The 25,633-nt window shown below is 40.9% G+C and overlaps 1 protein-coding gene across 12 annotated transcripts in view, besides 10 other annotated features; it reads right to left on the bottom strand.

The window, feature by feature from the left end:
* Positions 1-25,633, bottom strand: part of RAD51B (RAD51 paralog B) — an 863,318-nt gene that overhangs the window by 394,163 nt on the left and 443,522 nt on the right. The gene's annotated exons all lie outside the window — the stretch shown is intronic.
* Positions 3,394-3,443: an enhancer, noted in NCBI's record as "active region_8600". NCBI's record gives its function as "activates an Ori minimal core promoter by ATAC-STARR-seq in GM12878 lymphoblastoid cells {active_cell/tissue: GM12878}" and the evidence as "EXISTENCE:reporter gene assay evidence [ECO:0000049][PMID:35858748]".
* Positions 3,604-3,663: an enhancer, noted in NCBI's record as "active region_8599". NCBI's record gives its function as "activates an Ori minimal core promoter by ATAC-STARR-seq in GM12878 lymphoblastoid cells {active_cell/tissue: GM12878}" and the evidence as "EXISTENCE:reporter gene assay evidence [ECO:0000049][PMID:35858748]".
* Positions 3,714-3,763: an enhancer, noted in NCBI's record as "active region_8598". NCBI's record gives its function as "activates an Ori minimal core promoter by ATAC-STARR-seq in GM12878 lymphoblastoid cells {active_cell/tissue: GM12878}" and the evidence as "EXISTENCE:reporter gene assay evidence [ECO:0000049][PMID:35858748]".
* Positions 5,500-5,569: an enhancer, noted in NCBI's record as "active region_8597". NCBI's record gives its function as "activates an Ori minimal core promoter by ATAC-STARR-seq in GM12878 lymphoblastoid cells {active_cell/tissue: GM12878}" and the evidence as "EXISTENCE:reporter gene assay evidence [ECO:0000049][PMID:35858748]".
* Positions 8,819-8,988: an enhancer, noted in NCBI's record as "active region_8596". NCBI's record gives its function as "activates an Ori minimal core promoter by ATAC-STARR-seq in GM12878 lymphoblastoid cells {active_cell/tissue: GM12878}" and the evidence as "EXISTENCE:reporter gene assay evidence [ECO:0000049][PMID:35858748]".
* Positions 9,668-9,962: a silencer, noted in NCBI's record as "tiled region #2611; K562 Repressive non-DNase unmatched - State 7:EnhWF". NCBI's record gives its function as "represses a minimal TATA promoter and a strong SV40 promoter by Sharpr-MPRA in K562 cells {active_cell/tissue: K562}" and the evidence as "EXISTENCE:reporter gene assay evidence [ECO:0000049][PMID:27701403]".
* Positions 13,293-13,342: an enhancer, noted in NCBI's record as "active region_8595". NCBI's record gives its function as "activates an Ori minimal core promoter by ATAC-STARR-seq in GM12878 lymphoblastoid cells {active_cell/tissue: GM12878}" and the evidence as "EXISTENCE:reporter gene assay evidence [ECO:0000049][PMID:35858748]".
* Positions 19,884-20,063: an enhancer, noted in NCBI's record as "active region_8594". NCBI's record gives its function as "activates an Ori minimal core promoter by ATAC-STARR-seq in GM12878 lymphoblastoid cells {active_cell/tissue: GM12878}" and the evidence as "EXISTENCE:reporter gene assay evidence [ECO:0000049][PMID:35858748]".
* Positions 20,214-20,363: an enhancer, noted in NCBI's record as "active region_8593". NCBI's record gives its function as "activates an Ori minimal core promoter by ATAC-STARR-seq in GM12878 lymphoblastoid cells {active_cell/tissue: GM12878}" and the evidence as "EXISTENCE:reporter gene assay evidence [ECO:0000049][PMID:35858748]".
* Positions 20,714-20,833: an enhancer, noted in NCBI's record as "active region_8592". NCBI's record gives its function as "activates an Ori minimal core promoter by ATAC-STARR-seq in GM12878 lymphoblastoid cells {active_cell/tissue: GM12878}" and the evidence as "EXISTENCE:reporter gene assay evidence [ECO:0000049][PMID:35858748]".

Here is a 25,633-nt window from a genome sequence, read left to right as displayed (position 1 = left end):
ATAAACTGAATAATGTATTTGTCTATCTTAGTTAAAAAAAATGTGGAACTTCTGAGAGATCTAAATGTGTCAGCTCTAATATTTTTGTGATTCTTTTAAATGATGGCTTGGTGAAAATGATTGGGACTCCAATGATATGGTTAATAGTAATGAGAAAAAAATTCTTACTTAATACCTACCATGCAAAGCATGTCACCATATACATGGGGGAAATCAAGATATAAAGGTACTGTATGCTCCAGAAACTTACAAATTCAATGACAAGGCACTGACTAAAATATTTAGACCACTTTTCCTCAGTTTTATTCTCACTTCACTGGTTCTGTAATGGAAACCTGTACTGAGATGACGGTTTTATTGTACAGAACTAATGAAATGCTACCTTACAGAACCTAAAACTGAACTACAGATATACCTCAAAAGATACCCAGCATCATTTCCACTTCTGGTGAAAGAGTAGATGGGGAAGAAAATATTCACTCCCCAATGGCAAAAGAACAAGCTCCTAACTTATTTTGCTAATAATCCTCTCCCTTTTAATTACATGTCTTAAAGCCAAATCACCAAAGGGATACATAGCAACCAAACTCAGGGCTTTGCTAATCATGCCATCTTACTGAATTGTTGTGGTTTTCTAAATCTGTTTTCAGCAAAAAGGATAGAATGAAAACATTTCCCAAAGCATTGATTACAATCATCACAACTTGGGAAGAAGACTATAGGTATATTTTCCTCTGAGGCAATCAAGAGACTTGAAAACTATACTCTTAAAATAACACATGAAATACTATTATAATTTATAAACAGACTCAACACAGTCTGGTTTCTAACTGACGCTTCATGGGGTTTTCCTGCTGCTTTGCTCCATGGGAAAGACTGAGTCTTCTGATGCTCAGTACTAAATTTGTGTAAGAGCAATTTGCACAGTGTTTAGGACAAGGGCTTTGGAATCAGACCTGAACTTAGATCCTGGGCTCTACCATTTACTCGCTGTGTGACATGGAGCAAGCTTCATAGTCTCTCTGGGTATGATAATACTTAGCTCACATGGTTCTGAGGATTCAGCTGGATAACGCACAGGTAGTCCTTAGCACAGTACCCGGCCTATGGAAAATGTTACCCCACCACTGTCATTAGTTATCCTTTGCTGATTTATACCTTGCTTGTTTAGCTATAAAACCCATGCCTGATTCCCTTTTATACAGCATATAGGCCACTACTGACAAATAACAAATATTTGCTGTCAATATGTTCAAAAGCAATAACAATTTAATTGAAAGTACATATGCTATTTTTGCTATTTCCCTAAAATAAGGCTTATTGAAAACACGCAACACACCCCCAACACCACCAATTACAATGCAAGACCAGAGTGGGATTCTTGGACAAAGGAAAAGATAGATATTTTTAATGGTCATGATTAGGTCTGAAGCCAGGAATAGACAGAATCCAACTTAATCAGCTTCTCTCGAGGAAGAAGAATACCATCCACCTATTAGAAGGAACAAGAAACCCTATATTTGTATAAAGTAACTTCTGTCTCAACTCAACTTTATATATGAGAGAATGCTTACTCCCAAAGCTTCTTTGCATTGCCCTCTTAACTGTATGCTGCTTACAGAGGTGCACCTGTATAGGAAATGGCACCTCATATAGTGTCACATAGACCTTGAGTCCCATTTTTAATGCCTTCCCACAAGGAAAAATAGGGAGAAAAATTAAGATCTTTAAAAAAGAAATACGGGGTATAGATTCATAGACCACCCAGTAGGTCCTCCTTTCACAGCCAGCAAGGCATATAAGCTAGAGAAAAGAGATAGAGGGGAACCAGTTAAAGATGGGATGAACTGCTAAGGCAGAAGGCTGGGAATCAATGTCATTTTGGTCAGAAGGCAGAGGCTCCTGGCCAGGAAAATCCAACCAACACACACACAACACACACACTAATGAAAATAGATGACTTATTTCCACTAAGTATTTAAAAAGTAGCTTAAGGCAGCAAATACCTTGAGTTAAGAGAGAATAAGCAGAATTAACTGGTCATTAGTCAGAGGATTGAGCCAACTGAGCCCAACTCTCTGCCAGTCTATGTGCCCAATGCAGACCCTCTGCCTTCAGCTGACTCATCTTTCTTTAGCTAGGCTATGACTAGACTATACCCAGGCTACACCTACCCTCTGCTCAAGCTTAATGTTCCTGGCCTTTAAGGGACAATGTATATGTCAATTCTAACTTACTCTACATTGAAGGTTAGAAATATCTTTGGTGGGGTGGAAGGGGAGGGGGCCCCATGAGTAGCCATTTTGTATACTGGAGCCTTCCATGAGTACTAGAATGTACAGGTGAAGAGAAAATTGGATAGCACTGGAGACCTGAGTGGGAAATGGCCAGGCCTGAAGACACAGCCTTTGATAGAAACAGCTCATTTTACCTGACTTTTGGTGGGGGACAAAGAAGAGGGAGTTTGTGGTCAGCCAGGGATAGAATAGGTTGGAATGTGATATCTGGTCCTGTTTGGTCAGCAGAAGAGATATTCATGATCAGCAAAATAATTATTCGATATTTAAAAGTCAGATTTTTTAAGGACCCAAGAATCTGACAAACGCCATCACTGAGATTTCTGTGGGGGCAGCTGAGAGGCAAATTTTGTAATCCCCATTTTCCACCAAGTGAACTGGAGTCACCTAAGACCAATAGTACAGATGAGATAAGGGCATGCAGGCTTCCCTGCCTGCTCTCCTTCCTAAGGCAACATGGGACACAGGAGAAGAGAGAGAAACTCTCAGCTCAGATCTACTGACAGGTGACTTCTCCAGGCCTTAATGTCATGGTCTAGAGAATTCCACCTATAAAAGTAATAAACAAATAAATCTAATATCCAGAAATACACTGAAAGATGGTCAAGATGCTACACTGTAACAAGATCAATCTTGTGATAAAAGTCTTTTCAGACTCTGCTAATAAATACCATAAATCAAGTAGGTCAATGGCTTCCGCTTCTATGAAAGTCAAGTATGTGAGGCAATCTTATATGAATTTTGACAAATTTTTGGTGGTTTTCAGTGGCTCTTGATAACATGTGGTTATCATTTCCGGCGCCCACGGGAAGTTTTGAAACTAAATTTTTCATGGAACTCATGTCTCTGTGCAACAGAGTTGAAGGGGTAGGCTGGGCTAGAGGATTCACGAAGCAACCTCAGGCATCTCAGGGGCATTTCTAGCCCATAAAAACACCTGCTTCCTCCTCCCGCCCACTCCCTGGCAGAAACCTGCCACAATCTAACACACATCAGGAAGTTTCAAAATCACTTTAACTGGGCCAGGATGGCGAGGTGCAGTGATAGTCCGTCCTGATACTTCTAGCTCTCAAGTAAACAGCAGCCCCTGGATAATCTGGGTGGCCAGAGAGAGACGCAAGAAGAGAATGTGGGTGCTGAGTCTACTCACCAACCCGCCTGGCACTAAATCCAATGCTTTCAAAGTGACGAGGCTCTGCCTTTCATCAGCTCTGAAGGCACAGTTAATCTTTTTTTCCTTTTTGTACTAAAAATGGTCTCTCTGCTTAAGGCACAGCTTTAAAAATGTTACTTTTGTATCTGAAGTGATCCTAATTGCCATATATGACAGTGACCTAGCCTTTCTATCCAAACAGAGGCCTGGGATAAGTCAGAAATTCAAGTTTTAATCCTGGCTCTGTTAAGGGTTACTGAATGCCTTGCTTTTAAGGAGACAGAGACCGGAACTTTCCTGTGAGAAATTGTTCAGGTCCATTGAGTCCTTTCATCACTAAGGTTTGAGAGAAAGGCCTGGAGTGGTTTTCCCCATGCTGTCCTCCTGCTCCCCAACCATGACGGTGTCTGCCCCAACCTGTCTGCTGTGGTAGGAGCTGGAGGTGAGAAGGAGACAAGAGGAAGAAAGAGAATAAGGAAAGCAATGAGGGCAAGAGGCAGAAGGAAGAGAGTGAGAACAGGGTAGGTCCAGAAAGGCCACGCTCCCAGACGCATGCCTCTCCCCATCCCAAACCCTTCCTGTCCACATCCAGCTTTGTATAGAGATACCCAATATTTGTTACGGAGTTTGAGCGTCACAAAAACAAATGTGGTTTTAGTATTTGCTGGCTTAGTTTTGCCATGCTCTGGAAAATCAAAAATCATTCCACGATTAAAAAAAAAAAACACAAAAATAAACTTTTATCTTAGCTTCAGCTCAGAAAATATCAACTGTCAGTTCTAGAATAAAAGCTGATAAGGTTTCAATATTCCAGCCTGCCATTTCCATCTTGAAGGACTGCACAACAATTGTTTTCTGGGAAATTCTGAAAGGCTGTGGGGAATTTTTCTTGTGAAATATTTGTGGAGAAGAGGCCAAACTTCAATTTGGCTTGAAGAAAACATGGGTGTGGGAGTCAGGCAGACTTTTATTTCTGGCACTGTCACTAACCTGCTGTGCAATTCTGGGAAATTCTCCTAACCTCTCTGTACCTAAAAGTGTTGAGTCCACAAAAGATATGCAGAGAATGAATGTATAACAACTGTTAATGTAGCAGTCTGCTTAGAATAAATGTTTCATATATTTCACCCACATTAGGATGAGTGCTGTACTCAAAATTCCACCTTTGCATTGCTTATCTTCAACCTTAAGAAATCCATCCTACACAGAACCAATGGCAGTGGCCAAGGAAAAGGGGATGAAGGAGCAACTTGAAATAATTTGTGTTTATGGTGAGAATGCTTCCAATCTTAATAAGTTCATACCTCTTATTATCAGCCCTGAGGAAAACTGTCTTCTGTAGATTTCACTGTGAAATCCACAGGCAAAGCTAGAGAAACACTCTGCCTAGTAGGGGAGCCCCTAAAGAAGAGAGTGGCTCAGTCTGAGGGAATGCAGAAGGAGGAGGTGAAAAAAAATCTCCTCAGCTTTGCACAAGCACACACTCGCTCAATCACAGAGGGGGCTGACGCAAGTAGTGCTTCCGTGCTACTTTTGACCACTGAGTTCAGAAAAATGCATTGAAGTAGAATTGTGTCTGCCATTTGGCAAAAGTAAACACACAAGATAACCATGTGGCTCCCTAAGGCAGCTTTCTCTTTGGCCTACTTCTCTTGGGGTGCACATGCAAGGGGATGCAGTGGAAACTGTGGGCCGGCAGCTACCGTGCCATAGACATAGGTGTGGAGAGCTATGGTTCCACTGCTGGCTGCCCCACTGGCCCCAATGGGCTGAGGTTAGCACGTGTTGGTTCCGGATCTCAGATGGGGCCGGCAGTTGTAAAGAGGCCACAAACAGCAAGCTAGTGTGCTGTTTCCACCTTCAGCCCAACCCCGACGGCATCCTGTCAGTGATCTTGGGCCCACTGCAGGAAATAACATGCACAATTGGTGAACTGTGACAATGCAGCCACAGTGGCTTCCAGTGGTGTATTCGCCAACTGTGTGCAATTTTGCAGTTAGTATGAGGCCAAAAAAGTCTCTGGCCAGCTAGAACCTGGAAGAGAACAAGGCCAATGGTCAGATGACTCTGAGGTTCACATGGATGTGGAAGAAACTATCCTACCAGCCTTCTGCTGCACTGTACGTGTCCTGTGGCCAAGTTGCTTTGGTGTGTAGTTGGGTATCCTTGCCTGCTACCTGATCACTGCCCACTGAGTCCCATAGAAAGGCAGAGGAGGTGAATTTCCAGCAGCTCCCCGAGTTTCTGCTGACCTTTTTAGGTGTTTTTATTACCTGTGGTGCTTTCTATTCATGTGTACTCCTGGGCTCTGGGGATTCCCCTCCCTTTGATTTACAAGGAGGATTAGAAAGACACAGCTTTGTGATCGGTCCCTCACAGACGGCTGGTATTAAGTGATTTCCCCTTCTTAGACTCATTTGAGGCCAAGAAAACAGTTCTGTTGAATCACTTGCTCCTTGGAGGTATGAAAATAGGGCACTTGGGGGAGTCCAACCTGATAAATACCAACATTGATACCCTTCAGCCTCAGCTACACTTCCAGTGGCATATAGTAGAGCGGAGTTGAAGCAGAGGAGTCTCGGGTCCCCCCCAGCCTCTGAGAAACCTCCAGTGGAGAGTAAGCAACTCTGGGCTTACTGCTTGTATTTCTGTGCCACCAGCACAAATGGCATCCTAACCACCAAGGGCTCTCCAAACTCACTGCCTGGAGAGGTGCAACCAATTCTATCTCCAGAGTGAATCTGTAGCATAAAATGGGAGCAAAGGCCACTCACTATGTATTGAAACAGAGGTCACAAGGTCTGCCTAGGAACAAATTTCCAAGTTAGCCACCTCATCAGATATGCTCTTGAACAAAAGTTATTTATTTGATGTCCTCAAGGAAGGGATATTGTGTAAGGTGTTATTTTTAAAAGGAGGGGTGGGGGCAGCTGAAGCAATGCTGTCTGTGTCTGTACTTAAAGAAATGACATCAATATAGACACACAATAATAACCTACAATTAAACAGACTCAACACAGGAGACACACATAAGAAGAACAAGTCCAGAACAAATATATTGAAATGGCTAAATATTTACATGGTAAGTAGGGGCAGGCTTCCTCCCACGGTGATGCCCTTGGAGTGGAGATCTTCTATCATGGTTACTAACATTCAAACTCCCAATCATGTGGTACAAGCCCGTTAAAAAGGATGTCCTGAGGCTGGGCATGGTGGCTCATGCCTGTAATCCCAGCATTTTGGGAGGCCGAGGCAGGTGGACCACCTGAGATCAGGAGTTCAAGACCAGCCTGGCCAACATGGTGAAACCCTGTCTCTACTAAAACTACAAAAAATTAGTCAGGCGTTGTGGTGCGTGCCTGTAATCCCAGCTACTGGGGAGGCTGAGGCAGGAGAATCGCTTGAACCCAGGAGGTGGAGGTTACAGTGAGCTAAGGTCACGCCATTGCACTCCAGCCTAGGCAACAAGAGCAAAACTCCATCTCAAAAGAAAAAAAAAAAAAAAAGGATGTCCTGGCCAAAGGCAGATCACACTTGAGGCACAAGCCCTACTGCCAGATGCCAAACAGGTTTTTAGTCTCTGATACTGGCTTGGAAATGGCCTCCTGGAACACTGTCCAAATGGGAAACGTGAGGCTTTCAGGACTCAAGAGTCGCTAGAGAGGAAGGTGAGGCATATATGCTGTGCACTGGCTAAACCTGCCCAGTACAACTGCATGTGGGTGCTAGACCATAGTTTTTCTCCCTCATTTTCAGGTAGCTATTTGTCGCCTCTCATATGACATCATTAATAAGAATAACCATGTCATTTTACACGTATATGGTACTTTATACTTTTCAGGGTATGTTCACAGAATGGTCTTAGCTGATCCTCAATGCAGAGTGAGGGGAGCTGGGAAGTGACTGAAGCAGCTGTCCTGGGTTAGGAGGGTGGACTCTGGAGTCAGATCCCCTGGGCTTCCAGCTCAGCTCCACTGCCTACTAGTTGTAGATTATTTATTCCACACCTACTCAGGTAGATTAGTTAATGTCTCTGTGCCTCACTTTCTTCAACTGTATAATTGGCATAGCAATCTTACCTATTTAAGGATAAATGAGTTAGCATATAAAGCACTTAAGACAGTGCCTAACACATATTAATATTATCCTTTTACTTATTATTCTATTGCGTTCAATTATTCCAATAGGAAAACCAAGGCTTATAACATTCTCGTTCTAATTTCTCTATTTCTCATGGTTTACCCACCCCAAATGCCCCAGTCTGAAATAGCCTCCTTTACTCTGTAAGTTTCCATCTTTGAGGGGCCAGTTCAAATCCTACCTTTTCCATGATATCTTTGCTAACTATTCTAGCCCTAACTTTTCTCTCACTTCTTAATACTCATACTTTACTTCTTTTTCTTCTATTTTTTTTTTCATTTTTTTTTGAGACAGGCTCTTGCTCTGCCATCCAGACTAAACTGCAGTAGTGCAATCACGGCTCACTGCAGCCTTGAACTCCTGAGCTCAAGCGTTCCTCCCACCTCAGACACAAGAGGAGCTGGGAACAGAGGCATGCACCACCACACCCGGCCAATGTTTTATTTTTTGTAGAGACGGAGTTTCCCTATGTTCCCAGCCCAGGCTGGTCTCAAACTCCAAGGGTCAAGTGATCCTCCTGCCTTGGCCTCCCAAAGTGCTGGGTTTACAGGTGTGAGCCACCTTGCCCTAGATAATACCCTGACTTTAGAATCAATACCAAGTAACTTAGTACAAGACTTTTTATGTCATTTGTGTTATCCTTCTCTCTCTATGGTGCACATTTCATGAGATTTTATGTGTTTCTACATCTCTAACCCTATTCTAAAGGAGTGAAGGAGGAAGAGAGGAAACTCACGTTCACTAAGCATTTCCTATGTGTCAGACCCCTACCAATTGCTTGAGTTGTGTTGGCTTATTTTATCCTCACAACTCAGTGAGGTAAACGTTATCATCCTGGTTGTAAAGATGAGGAAACTGAGGTTCAAGAAGTTGAGGTATTTTTTGAGATCAAATAGCTGGCACATGGGAGCACCAGACGCAGACCTGGTCTACCTGGCTCTCTAGTCTATCACATAAAAAGGTTCTCAATATGAAAACTCATGGTCCCACGGATATTTGTGGATTAATTTCCTCAGAATAAGGCATTCACTGATATCAGATTAACCAAGTCCCATTTGTTTAATGCAAAATCATTCATAAAGAAAAAACTGTACAAAATGTTTAAGTATAAAACAAATTTTGAGTAGCAAGAAGAAACCAGTCAACTGTTAGAATTCTGTTTGTTAGAGTTGGAAACACTGAGTCTTCAGGCAGGAGGAACCATGCTCCAGTAGGTCCGGCAAGGGAAAGGACACAGACTCCTGGGTTCTATTTCTGTCTTGGCCACCAACCACTCTGCTAATATTTTCACTTCTGCTGAAATGTGATGACGAGAGTTTCAGAAGATTGGTTGTCACATAAGAACAGAATAAGAGCAGGCAGTTAGCTGGTTAAATGTGGAAGAGCCACAAACAACACTGGGATCTGGAATAGGAGTTCACAGGTGGGAAAAATTCCATTTGGGCATTTGTCTTCTCAGTTTCATTTCAACGCACAGAGAGCAGCATGGGTCTGGAACCAGTCTTAAATATACGTGATGATAGTATCTGTGTTTTCAAATGCATACCTCTAAAACTAAAGGTCTTTAGTTTAAGAAATATTTTCTTGTTTTTCCTATTTGAAATGATATTTGTATTTATTTTTCGGATGGGTTGCTCTGTACAATGGTAGTGCTAAATAAGAAAAAAAATAATTAATTCTTAATATATTTGGGAACCAGCGCATGAAGTATATTAGTACCTCTATAACCTGACAGAGGTCCTGGCCTTATGTTAAAGACTCAGCTAGGATAGAGGTGATAGGGCCAGGGGTTTGTCTTTGGTCTTTGAAGTCATCTAGCCAAGAGGCCAGGCTGTTTAACGACTGGTAACTGAGGAGGGTTTATGGCTGTTCCTGCAGTCCTTCAAGGTATACCATGATCCCTTTGAAAAAAGGGACACAGAAGCTGGAAACACTGACTACCAATCCTACATACCTAAAGTCCCACTGAATTCAGAATCCTGGAGTTCTGAGCAAATCTCATGGAAGCCGTCCTGCCTTCATCAAGGCCTGGAAAGGCATCACTGCCGAGAACAGATGCCCACATGCTTTGGAATGAGAGGACAAGCAAGCTTTTTTCTGTCTGGTTATTGACAACACGGTGTTCCTTCTCATGGACTCCTCCTGCCCTCCCTAGCACCACACTGAAATGACTAAATCTGCCTGTTGGCTCCAGTGAATCCAGTCAAATAAGTCAATTCTCTTTAAGTTTGTGGTCTCAACTCCTTGTTGGTTTATTGCAAAATTAAAGGGCATACAGAGTAGAACCATCAATCAGTAACCAGCAGAGGAATAAGCTCTTTGTGGAATGTACTGAGAAGCAGGAAAGAAGAAAAAATGAAAAGAAACCTCATGAAATGGTCATTTGTTAGGAGAACAGAAAAAAAAAAATCTGCATTTCACATGCAACATCATTTAGGAAAAGTCTTATTAAAGGTTTCCTATCTCACCAGGAGAGCAAGCACAGGAACGCAAAGAAAAATCCCTCAAAATGACCTGCCATCTATTAGTGCTGGTTTCTTGTGGGTTTTGCTGTATTCCATAGACACAGCCTGAGATCATGTGGCCCAAGGGCTGGAACAGTGACTCAGCAGGCTCAGGACCAGGGAAAGGAGATGAGAAGCCACTGTTGTTTATTACAAAACAAAACAAACAAACAAACAAATGTAACTGGCTCTTTCAGCCCTCTACCGCATGCTGACCTTCCCTTAGCACCCCTTTATTTAAAGTACCCAGTGCCATGTCTTACTTGGAATTTTTAACAAATGCAATTTGATCAGGGTGAAAACTGAAGAGCACTACATAGTCTAGACAAAGAAAACTAACATTTACTGGGTACCCAGTGAGTATCAAACACCATGTTCAGTGCCTTAGTTACAGACCTCCTTTCATCCTCATCGTAACACCATGAGGTAGGTGACATTATTCCTCTTTTAAGGATAAAGATATTAAGTGACTTGCCTGGCTTGCAGCAAGCAGCAACATCAATGTGACTACAAAATCCCTTCTTTCAAATAGATTCACCATTTCAAGCATGGCACCAGGAAAACTACTATGTGGCATTCTAAATCCTTCTGGAAGAAATGAAATTGGTAGTACTGGAAATAGTATAAGGGTAACTCACCAGCTGTGTCTACCTTGTACATTTTTTTCTCTAGATAAATTTCTTCTCTAGGGCAACTAGTATTGCCTATTTCATAGGAGAGAAAAGCAAGATGCCAAGAAGTGTAGGAAATTTCTGGCACTGGTAGGCAAAAGAGCCAATAGAACACAGCACGCCTCTGGCTGGTCGCAGTGGCTCACGCCTGTAATCCCAACATTTTGGGAGGCCAAGACGGGCAGATCATTTTAGTCCAGGAGTTCAAGACCAGCCTGGCCAACATGGCAAAACCCTGTCTCTACCAAAAATACAAAAATTAGCCAGGCATGGTGGCACGCGCCTATAGTCCCAGCTATTTGGTAGGCTGAGGCACATGAGAGAATTGCTTGAACCTGGGAGACGGAGGTTGCAGTGAGCCAAGATTATGCCACTACACTCCAGCCTGGATGACAAAGCGAGACTCTGTCTCAAAAACAAACAAAAAAAACCCCCAGAACATACCTCTGATTCTCACCTGTGGCAAGATGTAGCCTTTGAAATACTATGGTAATAGATAAGAATTATTTACATTGCTTTAAAATAATGAACGGGCCATATATATAATATACACATTTATATGAATATAAAATTTCATCTGAACATCTTTATCAACATCAATAAGGTATATATTATATCTCTTTCCGTATCAGAGAGAAAAAGTGACTTGCCTAAAGTTTACAGCATATAAATGGGCCTAAACCCAAGTCTGACTCCATATCTCATGGTCTTTACATTCCTTGATCCTGAAGGGGAGGGCACCTCCCAGAAAAAGAGGCAGACTGACGGTGAAAGAATAACCTCCATGAGAAAGCTAGGTCTTACTGGCTTTCTGAAATAAGGATGAGCTGCTTGTGAATTGTTATGTCCCGTGGAACTGGATCTTGGCTTCTCCTTTTTCTCTACACAGGTTTGACTATTAATAATAGCATTAGGACCTATGGCTGTCTCTGAGGGTTGTCGTCCATTACTAATGTGAGGCTCCTCGTAAGTGCTGGTTATGGTTTATGAGTAGTGGTCCCCTTCATTAATTCAGCCAAAGAGCTTCCAAGAGAGGACTATGGAAGTAAGAAGTGAGAGAAACCCATACCTGGGACTAAGGAGGTTCAGAGTGAGATTGCAAGGAGGTTAAAGAGTAAAGTTTATATTTAAGGCTTCCTTCCCTAACACTCACCATGTTCTCTCCGTCCTGAGTACTCCATAAGCTTTGTACACTCATCTTTTCAAGTGCAGCTAAAAGTGGGACCTGCTCCCCGACATCCTTTTCCCAGTAGCCAGTACTACCTCGGAGGGCTTTGAGGGCCCAAGACCCCATCCCTGTGCCATCCACCACTGCTCATAAATCTACACAGTCCTTTCTTCCCTACCCTCTTTCTGATGAACTAAGTCTTAAATATGTCTTACAGATGACTTTTGCTACAGAGCTGTGTATTTTTGAGGGAAGGCCCCTGCTGACATACCAATTGCACTAAAGCAGTTGCTCTGAAGTGGTGGGGACGGGTTTTGAATCTAGTTCTTCTCACTCCAGTTCCATACTAATTCCCCTACACATTCTTTTCCTTCCTCTTCTGAAATAGAAAACCTGGCTCAACATGTGACTGACAGACTCCCCTGTAGATACTGGAAGCATAGTTGAAATAAAAGCTGAATATCTCAGAAAACAAAATTACTCAAGTAATTAATTATTAAAATTAAAAATGTTATGAAAATACTTATTAAATACAAATCGTGGTTAAAACAAAGATAAGACTGATATTTTTCTGTTTAAAAAAAAAGTAAAATGAGTACGCAAATGAGCTAAAATGAAATGTAGCAAGTAATCCATGAAAAGAGGATGGATGGGAAGCTAGGAGATGGGAAGGTATGACTTCTCAATGGGAGACTCAGGGGAGGAGTCATTTGATCTGGGCCTTGAAGGAAGGGCCCAATTTGGACATTGAGAGTTATGTGGAAGGTCATTCTAAATGGCAGAAGAGGCCCCTATATTATGATAATTTGGATCTGCAGAGTATTTCAGAGGAGGAACTCTGGAATACTGGAAGTCATTAACAAGGTGACCAATCTGTCTCTTTCTATAATAACAGCACAGGTATTTATACCAGGGATTCATCTGTCTCAAAAAAGGAGCTCTTTGAAAAGCATGAAAACAGGCTCCCAGCTGGGAGACACTGGAGAGGACTTCCTTCTCCTGTTCACCTGCATCTCATGTCTGCATGATCCAACTTTACAGGAAGTAGAAGCAAGATGTCTACATAATCTCCTCCTACCACTGAACTTGGTTCCTACAGGACAGGTTCTTGCAGTAAGGACAAAAAAATAGAAATAACATGTCAGCTGAGAATTCAAGGGTGTGTGTGTGTGTGTGTGTGTGTGTGTGTGTGTGTGTGTGTGTGTGGAGAGCTAGTTTCAAACTGTATTTAGAAGCTAAATTCTGCTACAACACATCAAAGAATATCAGGCCCCATTACAGAGGAAAGGAAAAGCCCTAATTTGCATGCAACAGGGTTTAGGAAAAATTTTTATGAAAGACTTCTCTAAGGGGGTAAAAACTAAAACAAAACAGCAACCAAAAAGTCCTCAAATGACTGTGTGACTGTGTGTCATCCATGCGTATCCTGATAGCTTCTCGCCAATTCCCTCGCAGGCAGGAGAGACCCCACTGGACTTCAAAATTTTCCTACCCTAGAGAAAGGAGGCATTATAAACCAAAGCAGAGTCCCCTTATTTGTTCCACTACTTTTTTTTTTTAAGTCCACTTTTTCTGCCAGTTACTTTTCAACATGACTGACAAGAATGCTTTCCACTTTTCCATTATGTTTTCAAAGCCAACAGCAAAGCTCAACTAGAGGTTCAAATAAAAATTTTAATCAATACAACTATAAGAATGTTACTTTCATATAAATTTAGTCAGTTCTCAGGTAGCACATGAGGGTCACAGAGAAACTCCCTGACTCTAACACAGACTTGGAAATGAGGAAAATAAGATGGCCTTCTGGAGTTAAACTGCATAATAATCAGCACTCACTGGCACAGGACAGAACTGCAGAATGAAAGGACAGAATATATGTCTCATTAAACAATGGATCTAGGCAATGATCATCAATGGGTGCTAAAACCAGTAGGTGAAAAGTTGACAGAAATCTTGGTCATGGGAAGAAGATCAGGCTGCCACTATCCCGAACCACTGATCAACTTAATCACCATTAAAGGTGATATAGTCAGACATTATTGCCTTGTGACATGATAAAATAGGAAGTACTAGCACCACCTATAGAGTGTTTTTGCCTAAAAAGAAAAAACAAAACAAAACCCTCTAAACCCTAATCTAATCAAACCTTAGCAGCAACCACCAGTTTATGGGAAATATAAGATCTAGCAGAACAAGTTAAAAGGACGTGGTGAAGAAGCCATCAGCCAAATCTAGAATATAGGGCATTTGATATCCAATTTCTCCAAATAATTAATGTCACAAATAAAAGGAGAGTAAGGAAGTAATTATTTCTGACATAATTATTAATTATTTGTGACATTATTTGTGACATTTATTATTTTATTCTGGGAAGTACTCCAGAATAAAAGAAAGTAAAAGGATATAACAACCAAATGCAATTTATGGACCTTATTTAGGTCCTTATTTAAACTAATCAACTGTAAAAGGATATCTTTGAGACAATCAGGGAAATCTGATTTTGGGCTGGGTATTGGATGATATTAATGAATTGTTAATTTTGTTAGGTGTAGTAAAGGCAAGGCATTATGGTTTCATATGCCCTTATCGATTTAAAGATAGGAGATGTGGGTAGAGAAATGTGTGTTCCAGAGATAAATTTTAAAATGCAAACAAGAAAGGAAGGAAGAAAGTAAATGTAATCATGGTACATTTTGTAGCTCTGCCATGAATGCTTACATTGTCACAGTAATGTAAATATTAACTGAATATTATGATATAATCATACCGGAAAAAAGAAGGGGAAGAGTGAAATGGAAGGAGAGAATGGTGTAAGTACCCTATGGTCATCGTCCATAGAAAACATGAGATAATGTCTAAAATAGAAAAATTAAGAAACAGCAATTCAAGCATATCAGTTAGAAATGTGGGGGTCACTAGTAGAATCAACAAGAGATTTGAAAGTGGCTGCTCCCGAAGCATAAGAAGCAAAGGAGAGTGGGGAAATTGGGGCAAGAAACTGGTTTTCAGTACAAATCTATACTATTACTAGATTTGTAAAACATTATACATGTTTTACTCTGATGAAAAATAGAATTTAAATAAAAAATAATATGTAGAACAGGATATGGGGAGGAAGTCTGTCAGCTAAAAAATTTTATATAAAGTATAGCCTGGCATGGAGGCTCACACCTGTAATCCCAACTACTCAGGATGCTGATGGGAGAGGATCGCTTGAGCCCAGGAGTTCGAGGCTGCAGTGAGCTATAATTGCACCACTATACTCCAGCTCTGTATGACAGAGTGAGAGCACATCTCTAAGAAAAAAAAGAAAAATGATGGAAGTGCTTGTTCCGAACCTAATCAGGGTTGCCAGGAAGCCCTGTGTGCCCACTCAAGTGGTCACCTGACAGATAGATCTGCACTGTAGAGGTGGAACAGCAGGCTAACGGGGCCTGATAATATAAGCATTTGAATCACTTAACTCCCCTCACATCAATTCTGTACTTACCAAGCAACTGTCCAATAATTTGATTTGTCACTTAATTTGCCTTAAAGGGGAACTTAGGCAAGCCTATCCAGTGGATAGAACAGCTTAATTTTACACTGTAGGATCAATAATTTGGCATTCTATTTTTATAGCTCAGCCTGGTCCGGGAGCTTTGGGACCAAGAACAGGGCCAGGTTCACCTGAGAGTAATAGGCTTTTGGCCAAAAGCTGATCACCAGGCAAAAAACACCTTGGGAGACTTCCTGACTCTGGATAGCAGCCTCCTCCTGCTCAGGAGCTGCCCTAACCTTAGTGTCCTCATCACACTGCCTTAAGCAAAATCATAACCACCAGTTAATCTCAGTTATTCCCCTACATTACACTAAATAATCAAGAGACAATTGTGTCTGACCACTTGTAGGAAGACACAGTGGTCACTCGTGGCTCTTTTCAAGCAAAGATATTCTTCAACAGTTGCTTTCAGGACCCCACAGGACATCATGGGCAGAAGCCGAAGTTCTAGAACTTTTAAAATATAGAAAGTGTTGGGCCAGGCGCAGTGGCTCACGCCTGTAATCCCAGCACTTTGGGAGGCCGAGGCAGGCGGATCACCAGGTCAAGAGATCGAGACCATCCTGGCTAACACGGTGAAACCCCATCTCTACTAAAAATACAAAAAATTAGCCAGGCAAGGTGGTGGGCACCTGTAGTCCCAGCTACTGGGGAGGCTGAGGCAGGAGAATGGTGTGAACCCGGGGGCAGAGCCTGCAGTGAGCCGAGATCACGCCACTGCACTATAGCCTGGGTGACAGAGAGAGACTCCATCTCAAAAAAAAAAAAAAAAAAAAAAAAAAAAAAAAAAAAAATATATATATATATATATATATATATATATAAAGTGTTTATAAACAAAATACCATGGTAATAGAACATTTCAATTTTTTATACAGAAAACATAATAATAAGTATTATTGAGTACTTCCAAAGTGCTCTTTACATGTAGTATCTCATTTAATCTTCACAAAGCCCTAAGGTATAGGATCATTCTATTTGTCATATACATTTATTTATTTACAAAGATGGAAAATAAGATATGGCAACATTGAATAATTTGGTCAGGGTCATACAGCAGAATGGAGCAAGGATTCATAACTGGGTCGTCCACTTAGTGGGTGTGGTTCTCAGCGGCAGCGAAGTGTCTTGCTGAGAGTCACACAGCAAATGAGAAATAGAGCCAGGAAGAGGCATCTCTTGTCTTTTACTATAAGTCTGCAGAAGGAAGTGGAAGCCAATGAAACCCTTGAGACATTATAATCTCCCCTAAGTACAGCCACTACAGCCAATTCCATTAGCTCCAAACCAGCTGAGCAAATGCCTGAGTTATATTAAGCCCCCACAGTGATCACGTGGTGAAGAAATGCCTCTGTGCAACTGCATCCAAAAATTAGAAATTAAGTTCTGAAATCATAACAGAACTGTTGGTGACAGGGCAAAAAGTGTGGCACACAAAAATTGCTTGCTGTTTCATTTTCGAGTTGAAACAAGTATCTCACAAAGATAACTTCATGCATTTGCCTTACTTCCCCCTGGAGAAAGGAGAACAAAAAGAAAATGGCAAATTTGGGAGGCTCCCAGAGTTCTAATAAAGTTGTCCTTCATTTATTGTCAAGGCCACCATTTATTGAGCAATTACTATGATGTGTGAGCAATAAAGCTAAGCACCTTTCAAACATTATCATCATCGTCATCTTCAATTAATTAGTCCCTTGTTACGAGTTGATCAGTCTGCTAAGCACTACGCAGAGATTACCTCCTTTAATCCTGGCCACTCTCCTGTGAGGCAGGCCATAGTATTTTATACCCATTTGACAGGTAAAGAAAATGAGCTTAGAGGGCTTCTAAAAATTGTATAAGGTAATGGGAGAGCCATAACTGGAAGCTAAAGCCCAGAACCCATATCCATTGGACGATAAAGCCTTGTTTCTTACCTACCATGCTGTATTGCCTATTTATCTTTTTTTTTTATCTTCACAACACACTTTCAAGGTGCTATAATATTCATTTTATAGATGAGAAAAATGAGTCTCAGAGAGGTTAAATCACTTTCTAAAGACACACAGCTGGTAAGCAGCAAAGCTGGGATTCAAACCCAGGCTTGTTTTACTCCAAAGCCCAAGCTTTTCATCACTACACTACAGTATCTGTCTTTTCACTAGGATGTCAGTGCATTCATTTAATAAATATTTATCAAAGCCTTACTATGCACCAAGCACTGCTGTAGGCACTTGGGATACAATGTGAATAAAACAGATAGAAATCCTTCCCTGTAGTTTACATTCTAGTGGTGGGAGGCAGACAATAAACGTAATAAATGACAAATGATACAGTATGTTAGAAAGTGATCATTACTATGGGAAACAAACTAGGGTAAGGGAGATTTAGCTTAAGGTGTGGGAATAGGTTGCAATTTTAAACAAAATGGGCGACAGAGGCTTCATGGGAAAAAGAAATATGAACATAGAGTTAATGAAGCAGAGGACAGTACACATATGAATATTCAGTCAATTCTATAACTCTTCAACAGAAATCTGTAAAGAGAAATCCTTTAACATCTTATCTCATGTACAAATATCAAGGAAGCAGAAAAGTTAAAAAGCCAAGGGCCTGGGCTTTATCCCCTAACTTGCAAAAATGCATACTGCAAGGAGATAAAAAAAAATACACACATAGCTCATCTGCCATAAAAGATGGAAATGGTAAGGTTGGTAGCTGTATCTAGGCAAAGAAAAAAAAGAGACAGAGAGAGAGCTAAATATTTTACCTATCAAGAATTAGCTCCCAAAGTCAGTGGCGTTTCCCAGGCAATCTGGGTGATGTCTTCATCAAGCTCTCAGTCTACAGATGTTAACATTATAAAACTATTCCCATAAAATTACACTGCATAACAGCCGAAGACTGGCTGAACCCCTGTGACCCAAATGTGCTATCTCCAGAAAAACCAACAAGGCAAGCTATATTACACTTTCCATGAGTACACAAAGCCTAGACTATTCTGAGTAAAAGTTCATTACTTGGAGAGTTCAGCCTAAGACTGTGGGAAATTACAGAAATAATCTCTTCATCCAAATAAAAAAAGAACTCCTCTATTAGGAAAGATCCTGAAAATGTATCCCTCTATTCCAGACTCTCTAATAAGGAAAAATTAAGGCTAGACACTGAATTTTGGTGCTTTGCCTCCTCTATGAATGGCCTTCAGTGAACCATCTGCTCCTTACAGGTCACAAACAAATTTTATTGGCCATATCTGAGGATATAGCAACATATATTCTACAGGGCTTCTCCTGTTTTGGGCTGGATCGCAGGGCATGTAACAAACTAAAGGAATTGAAGAAGCAGAACTGCCTAGTGAGACTAATGGAAGTTAAGGTTGCAAAGTTATCGCAAAGTTATTCTTAGGGTTAGTATTAGTAAAGTATTACATGACTACCTGAAATGTATTTCTATTTTTGATTTCCTTGTTGACCCTTTGGAAAAAGAGGGTGGTTCTATAGTAGCTGTTTCCAATTGGCAGTTGTGCATGACCAGAAGCTTCAGATCAAGTGAGTCAACCAGGACCTCAATCCAAGGCCTGTGTTCCACTACTGGACAACAGCCCTTTTCATGGTACAGATTCCGCAAAAGAGAGACAAAGGAAGAGAGGGAAGCAAAAGCCAGGAGAGAGGTAAATAACTTCCAATTCAATCCCTCATTGAGTCCACATGTGTTTACTGAGCAACCGCTGGGGAACAGGCGTTGTTCCAGCTTCTGGGTAACAACAGAGAACCAGACTAAGACAACCTCTTTCTGCCCTTGTAGAGTGAGACCCCCTAGTCAGGGTCCAACAGTAAACAAGAAAACCAGGAAATGAGCAGGCAATTTCAGATATGATGAGTGATGTGAGGAAATAAAATATCGGGTGTAGATACTGATAGGACAGTCAGGGGAGTCCTGTCTGAGACAGGACATTCAGGCTGAGATCTGAGTGACGATCCTGCGGTAGCACAGGGTTCAGGGCAGGGTCCCAGGCAGGGGAGATGTGTAGAAAGGTCCTAAAGAGAAAGATGCTTACGATGCCCTGGGAACCCAGAGTAGATCAGCATGGCTGGAATTACTGCAAGAGGTGGTCAGAGCAGTGGGCAGGGCTGAGTCAGGCAGTGCCTTGGAGGCTGGCACCCAGCCTTGGGTTTGGTTGCAAGAGTGTGGGAGACCACTGGTGGCTCTGAAGCAGGAGACTGACATGATCTGGTTTATGTTTTAAAATGTGCTGATTGTGAGGAGTCAAACACCAACATTTAATCCTCCCATGAAGGCACAGCTTTTGTGTTCTTTGTAACACGCTTAAAATATTCATGAGTGCTCAATTCCTCTTGGCTGGGGGGAAAAAAGAAATTATATACCAAAGCTCTTCTTCTTCAGGCCACTGAGTGTTGGGAGAAGCAGAGAGACAGAAACACTGGGCCCCAAAGACATGCTGGCAGGGGGGCCCATCTTCTCAGGGTGGCCAAGGGTGGCGCCTGAGGGGAGAAGGTGTCTGATCACACTGTGGCTGCTATAGTTGAATCTGAACAGTAGCAGTGGCACCAAAGCAGAATATTTCTGGTTGGAAACACTTTCAAATGGAATTCCAGTTCATCTAAGGCAGGATGTGGTCTCATTCTATCAGTCAGTAAGTACTTATTACATCTCTACTAAATGCAGTCTAGGAACAAACAAAGATGAAAAAGTGAATGCTGTGTAAATTAAAGATGCTCTGTGCCTTTGAGGATTTGAAAGTCTCATGGAGAAGATAAGACAAAAGAGGGAAAATATCCACAGTGGTATACACAGCTATCTTCACATATATGTAGATATTTAGAGATAGAGCTAAAACCCAGATCTTTTGATTCCTAGTTCATCACTATCTCAGGTGAACAAATCCACAAAGCCCATAGTTTATGATTCTAATTGTGATGAGATGTGAACAGACATTTTGCCAGGAATCCGTAACTCCCACTATTACCCCCTATAAGACAAAGGTCATCCACAAACAGCCACTTGGCAGAATCCACTTCAGCAAACTCAATCTCTTCCAACCCACCACCAGTTTCACTTCCCTGTGGGGAAGATACAAAATGTACATGGGAGGAAGTGAGAGTGACGTGCTGGTGATCAGTTGTCTTTTCTGAAAAAGTGCAATCTACACAATGATATGTATGTATACACAGAGGCAAATGGCTGCATGATGTGTATGTATGTGTGTATGTGCACACATACATGCATTTTAATAGCTCATTCAAGAAAAATAAGCAGGACCTGGATATGTTAGGTGTCTGAAGTGATAGTTCCCAGAATGGTAGGACAAAATTGACCTGGCTTCTCTAGCCAGCAGGAAATGCAATTCTCTTCCTGCTGCTCAAGGAGAAATGTTAGAACTCCATCAGAGGCTTTATGTTAGTCTCTCCTAGCCACTCTATTCCTAATAAAAATGGCATTTAGGTCACTTACTTAAAACAACAGTGATTTATAACTGCAGCTGAGAACTGCATGGAAGTCTGCAGCACATTATTTGACATCTGAAAAGTTTGGTTTTATCTGTGTAAAATGAGAACCATAAAACTGACAATCCCAGAATCAGGACAGGGAAGCTTCAGCATGAAATAAATTGTTTAATTATGACAGAGCATGGTGAAAACAGCAGCCACTAACATTTTTATATGATATTCATACACAAAGTGATACGATTAATCTGATGTTAACTCAGATATATCAGCCCAATAGATTATAATCCTCTATTGTGAGCTAGAGAGACATAAAATGAAGTTATGGGCCCATAAGCAAAATATTTTTAAAATAAATTCCCTTATGGGTTTGAGGACCCTCCTTCAAGGGTCTCTATACATACTATGGGAGTTCTGGCATAATCCCTCTACAAAGTGGCCCATATCTAGAAGTACTGGTCTTTTTATTAATATTAGTGTTTGCCAAATAACCAATCAAACCTTACACACAAATTCTTTCATTTGAAAGAATTCTAGAAGACTAATTCTTTCATTTGACTCTCCCAGTGGTAAACATGTTCTCTTTGACATCATCTCTTTGATGTTAAATGAAATGACATTAAAGTAAGTTTCTAGATTTGCATAAAGGAATTTTTTTCATATAATACCATATGTATTTGTCTTACCCCAGTTGTGCAAATTGAGGTATGTTTTTAATATCTGCGGTTGTCACGGTTTTCCTATTATTAGGGCTACTCTGGGGATTTGAATCAGCTGGATTGTTCACCTTCAGAGCTCAAAACCAAAAGAGCAAGAATTTCCAAAGAGCAAAAAAGTATCGTCTTTGCGGAAAGCACAATACTCTTCCCCTTTTCGAGTTGCTTTTTACCTATCTGAAGAACACCAGGCCATCAGAGGCAATGCACTGGGTTAGACTTACAAGTCAACTTTTCAGGAGAAACAGCACCTAGAGAGAGCTCGAGGTTTGGTCTCCGACTTTAGAGCTGATTCAGAATTCTGATTCTGTTTTCCTAGAAGATGAGCCCCACATCTCTGTAACTTTTTGCGTAATGTATAGAACTACATAAATAATTGGTGTGCTGATATTTGTGATAAAACAATAATGTTTATATATTTTTACAGCACTTTACAAAGTGTTTTCATATTTATTACACATTTGAGGCACAGCCTTGTAAGGTTGGTACTACTATCATCCCTATTTTATAGAGATATCAGAGTCACCAGGAATACATGTAATTTGTCAAAAGACACTCAGCTCTTAAGTAGTAGAGTCAGAATTTGATCTCATAGTCTGTCCTCTATTGATTTGTACCTCATTCCCTCTGATAACTTTGCTTAGATCAAAAAGCCATCGCCCTTCCAGGGAAATGTTGGGGCTTAGAACAGGATACCCCCAAATATGGCACCCTGGCATACCAAGCATTTTAAGCTAAAGGACATTGGAAAACCACAGAAACAGGAAGGTCACTCTCTGACCTTCTCTTGCCTTTCCCTCTGAAGCAGGCCATAAAATAATTTTCTGACCTATCTTCCCTAAAAGTAGGCCTTAAGATCTTCATTCCAGAGGGGTCCTACCCTATACTTGGAAGCCATTCGAACAAACAGGGCTTGCAAAGTTCTCCCTAGTTGATTACCATTAGATGATACTCTGTGGTGCTCCAATCATACTTCTGTATGACTATCCATATAAATACACAGTTTTCCCTGGGTCTTTGGGTCATTTCTAAGGGCTTCAGTGTCACATAAAACTCTGTTAAATAAATTTGTTATGCTTTTTGCTTGTTACTCTGCCTTTGCTATAGGGTTCAGTAATGAACCTTGCAATAGGTGAGAAAAAGACATTACTTCTTCTAACCCTACAGCTCCTGGTGCCCAAACAGGAACCTAAAGCCTACCCCCAACAGTGCAAACACCAATCACTTGCCAGGCAAGGACTGCTCAGGGGTAGGGATACAAATAAAGAACAAATTTGATGGGAACATCCATCTATAAACCCAGTGCATGCACTTAATCCAATTTAGTAGTGCTACACCTTATTAAATGTCCATTTCCAATGCTGCTACATTTATAATTCATGTTATAAATGAGCACAATTATATTTATATCTCTCTCAAAATGCCAACCATCTACTAGAGTGAATTGTTTTCTTCCTCTGTGCTACTTGATTCATACCAACAGAATAGCATTTATCATATTATTATATTATACAGTTAGTTATGTTATTTTTATTTTTTATTTTTTAAGACAGAGTCTCACTCTGTTGCCCAGGCAGGAGTGCAGTGGTATGTGATCTCAGCTCATTGCAACCTCCGCCTCCTGGGTTCAAGTGATTCTCCTGCCTCAGCCTCCCGAGCAGCTGGGATTACAGGCACATGCCACCACGCCCAGCTAATTTTTGTATTTTATTAGTAGAAATGGGGTTTTACCATATTGGCCAGGCTGGTCTTGAACTCCTGACCTCAGGTGTTCCACCTGCCTCAGCCTCCCAAAGTGCTAGGATTACAGGTGTGAGCCACCGCGCCTGGCCGACAGTTAGTTATTTTTATACCAGTCTGCCCCACTGGTCTGGGAGCATCTTAAAAACAAGAACCATGTCCCATTCATTTTGAACATAGCACCTGGTATGCCTTAGATCCCAAGGAAATGATTGCTGAATACTCACTAGGGGACCTAACATTTATTTGTGATATACTTAGCCATAAATGAGTAATAAATCTTAAGAGACCAAACTTTACTAAGGCCAAATCACTGTTTGAAACATACAGTAACTCTGCTATTATAATTCTAGTTCTGAATCCAGTTTAAGAATTCTGTCTAAACTACTGATAAATGTTTATCGTAAGTTGATAAGGGTCTATTCACTCCAGACATCAAGGTAATAGTAAGCCCTAATGGTAAAGTGAATTGGATACAGGATAGGAAGCCAAAATCTAAGATTATCCTACTCATTCCAAGACATCTGGTCACTTGATCAGTATTCTACCTAAGCCACTTGACCTAGATTATACCACTTATTTCACATTAAACCCTGTGGGAAGTATTATATGCTATTTCAGAGGCAGAGTTCCCTATTCCATGTTTTTCTGCTACCCGATGCAGCCTCCACACATTTCCCTTTAGTTTGAAATAGGTAATATCCAGGAAAGGCAGACGAGAAACGGTAAAGAAGGAAATTAAACACAGTGCTGACCCCTCTCTCTCTCTGCCATCCACTTTTCTTGGATCCTAAAAGCTTCTGACATCTCATTCAGCATGCTCTAATCCTCCTAAATGAGTTTCTACTAATCTCTTCTCCGATTAAAATAATCCCTGCTCAACCTCCTACTTCGTATAACTATCTCAAGGCTCCATAAAAGTCATAGTAACAAATTTGTATCTACTTTACCTTTACTACCTTTCCTAGCCTCTAAAAAACTAAATACCCTAGGAGATGCCTCCTGTACTTCTGGCATTCCACCAGAATAAATGAGGTCCCAGATAACTCCAAAGCATCTCTCACTGGCTTACCCCAAATCTTGTCACAAACCCCATGCCATTCAAAACACTAGCTACTCAGAAAACTTTCTCTTCTACTCTGGTAAATTCTATCACCAAGCCTATAAACCTTGGATACCGTCAGGAGTCTGGCTCCGTTCCTGCCTATAAGTCATCCCTAACCCCAGTCATAGAATTCTTAGAAGTCTAGAAACTTTTTAGGCATTCCTATTTCCTTTAGAGTAGTCCCAAATGGGATAGGCATGTTGACCAACATGACAACCCTACCCCTGAGTACCAGCTAGTCAAAACAGTCCTGCTAATTTAACAGCCATAGTCCTGAATAAACACGATCCTCACCCCTGTTTTAAGCAATAGGAGTTCCTAGAGCTCTATTGTTTTCAGTGAATTCTGAGGAAGTAGGAAGGAAGGACCATAGATTAGAGGGTATGTTTACAGAGCCATCTCAAGAGTCTAGCAAAGTGGGATCATAGTTCACTTTTGTGTTTTGGGGGCCTTGGCCGTTCCCAGAAGAGAAAAGTGTAAGGCAGTTAGAAGACAAGCACCAAAATGGTGAAATTTATATATAAAATAAATTTGCTGTTGACTTCTCTTTGCATACTGCTTTTTGGCATCCCTTTAACCTACTATACATTGTTTGTGATTTCTGCATTCTAGTTTCTGATGATCAAGTTTGCCATTAGTGCTTATTTAAACCAGATGTTTTCCACAAGAAAATGTCAGATGAGGGGGAAGGGCTAGGCCATTATGAAAGAACATAGGCCTTACAACTTTCCTCTTCCCAGAGACTGCTGATTTGACTCAAGTTTCCGAATTGAAAGTCTGACATATTCATTTTTACTTATAGAAAAGTGTAGCTTTGTGTGTTCAAACAAGAACTAATGTCAGAAAAAAAGCATTATGAAACATATTTATCTTTACTGTATAGGTAACTAATGTTAATTACATAAATCTAAAAATGTAAAATTAGAATTAAGTATTGATAATGAATATTATTATAAAATCAGATTTAAGTTCTAAGACCTTGTTTAATTTTTTGTTCCAATATGTTGCTAACATCATTGGGACTGTCTGTCCTGGGAGCACTCACCTGCCTCATCCCTTATATGTGGTGATTTCCCTTTTCACTCCTCAGGTCTTCCCTGGCTTCTATAAAACAAGAAATTCTGCTTTTTACATAAGCTTCTTAGAACTGAGTT

Source organism: Homo sapiens, chromosome 14 (genome assembly GCF_000001405.40).
Source record: "Homo sapiens chromosome 14, GRCh38.p14 Primary Assembly".
Classification (NCBI taxonomy): domain Eukaryota; kingdom Metazoa; phylum Chordata; class Mammalia; order Primates; family Hominidae; genus Homo; species Homo sapiens.
The sequence above is the reverse complement of the archived record's forward strand: the minus strand, read 5'-3'. Positions and strand labels throughout refer to the sequence as shown.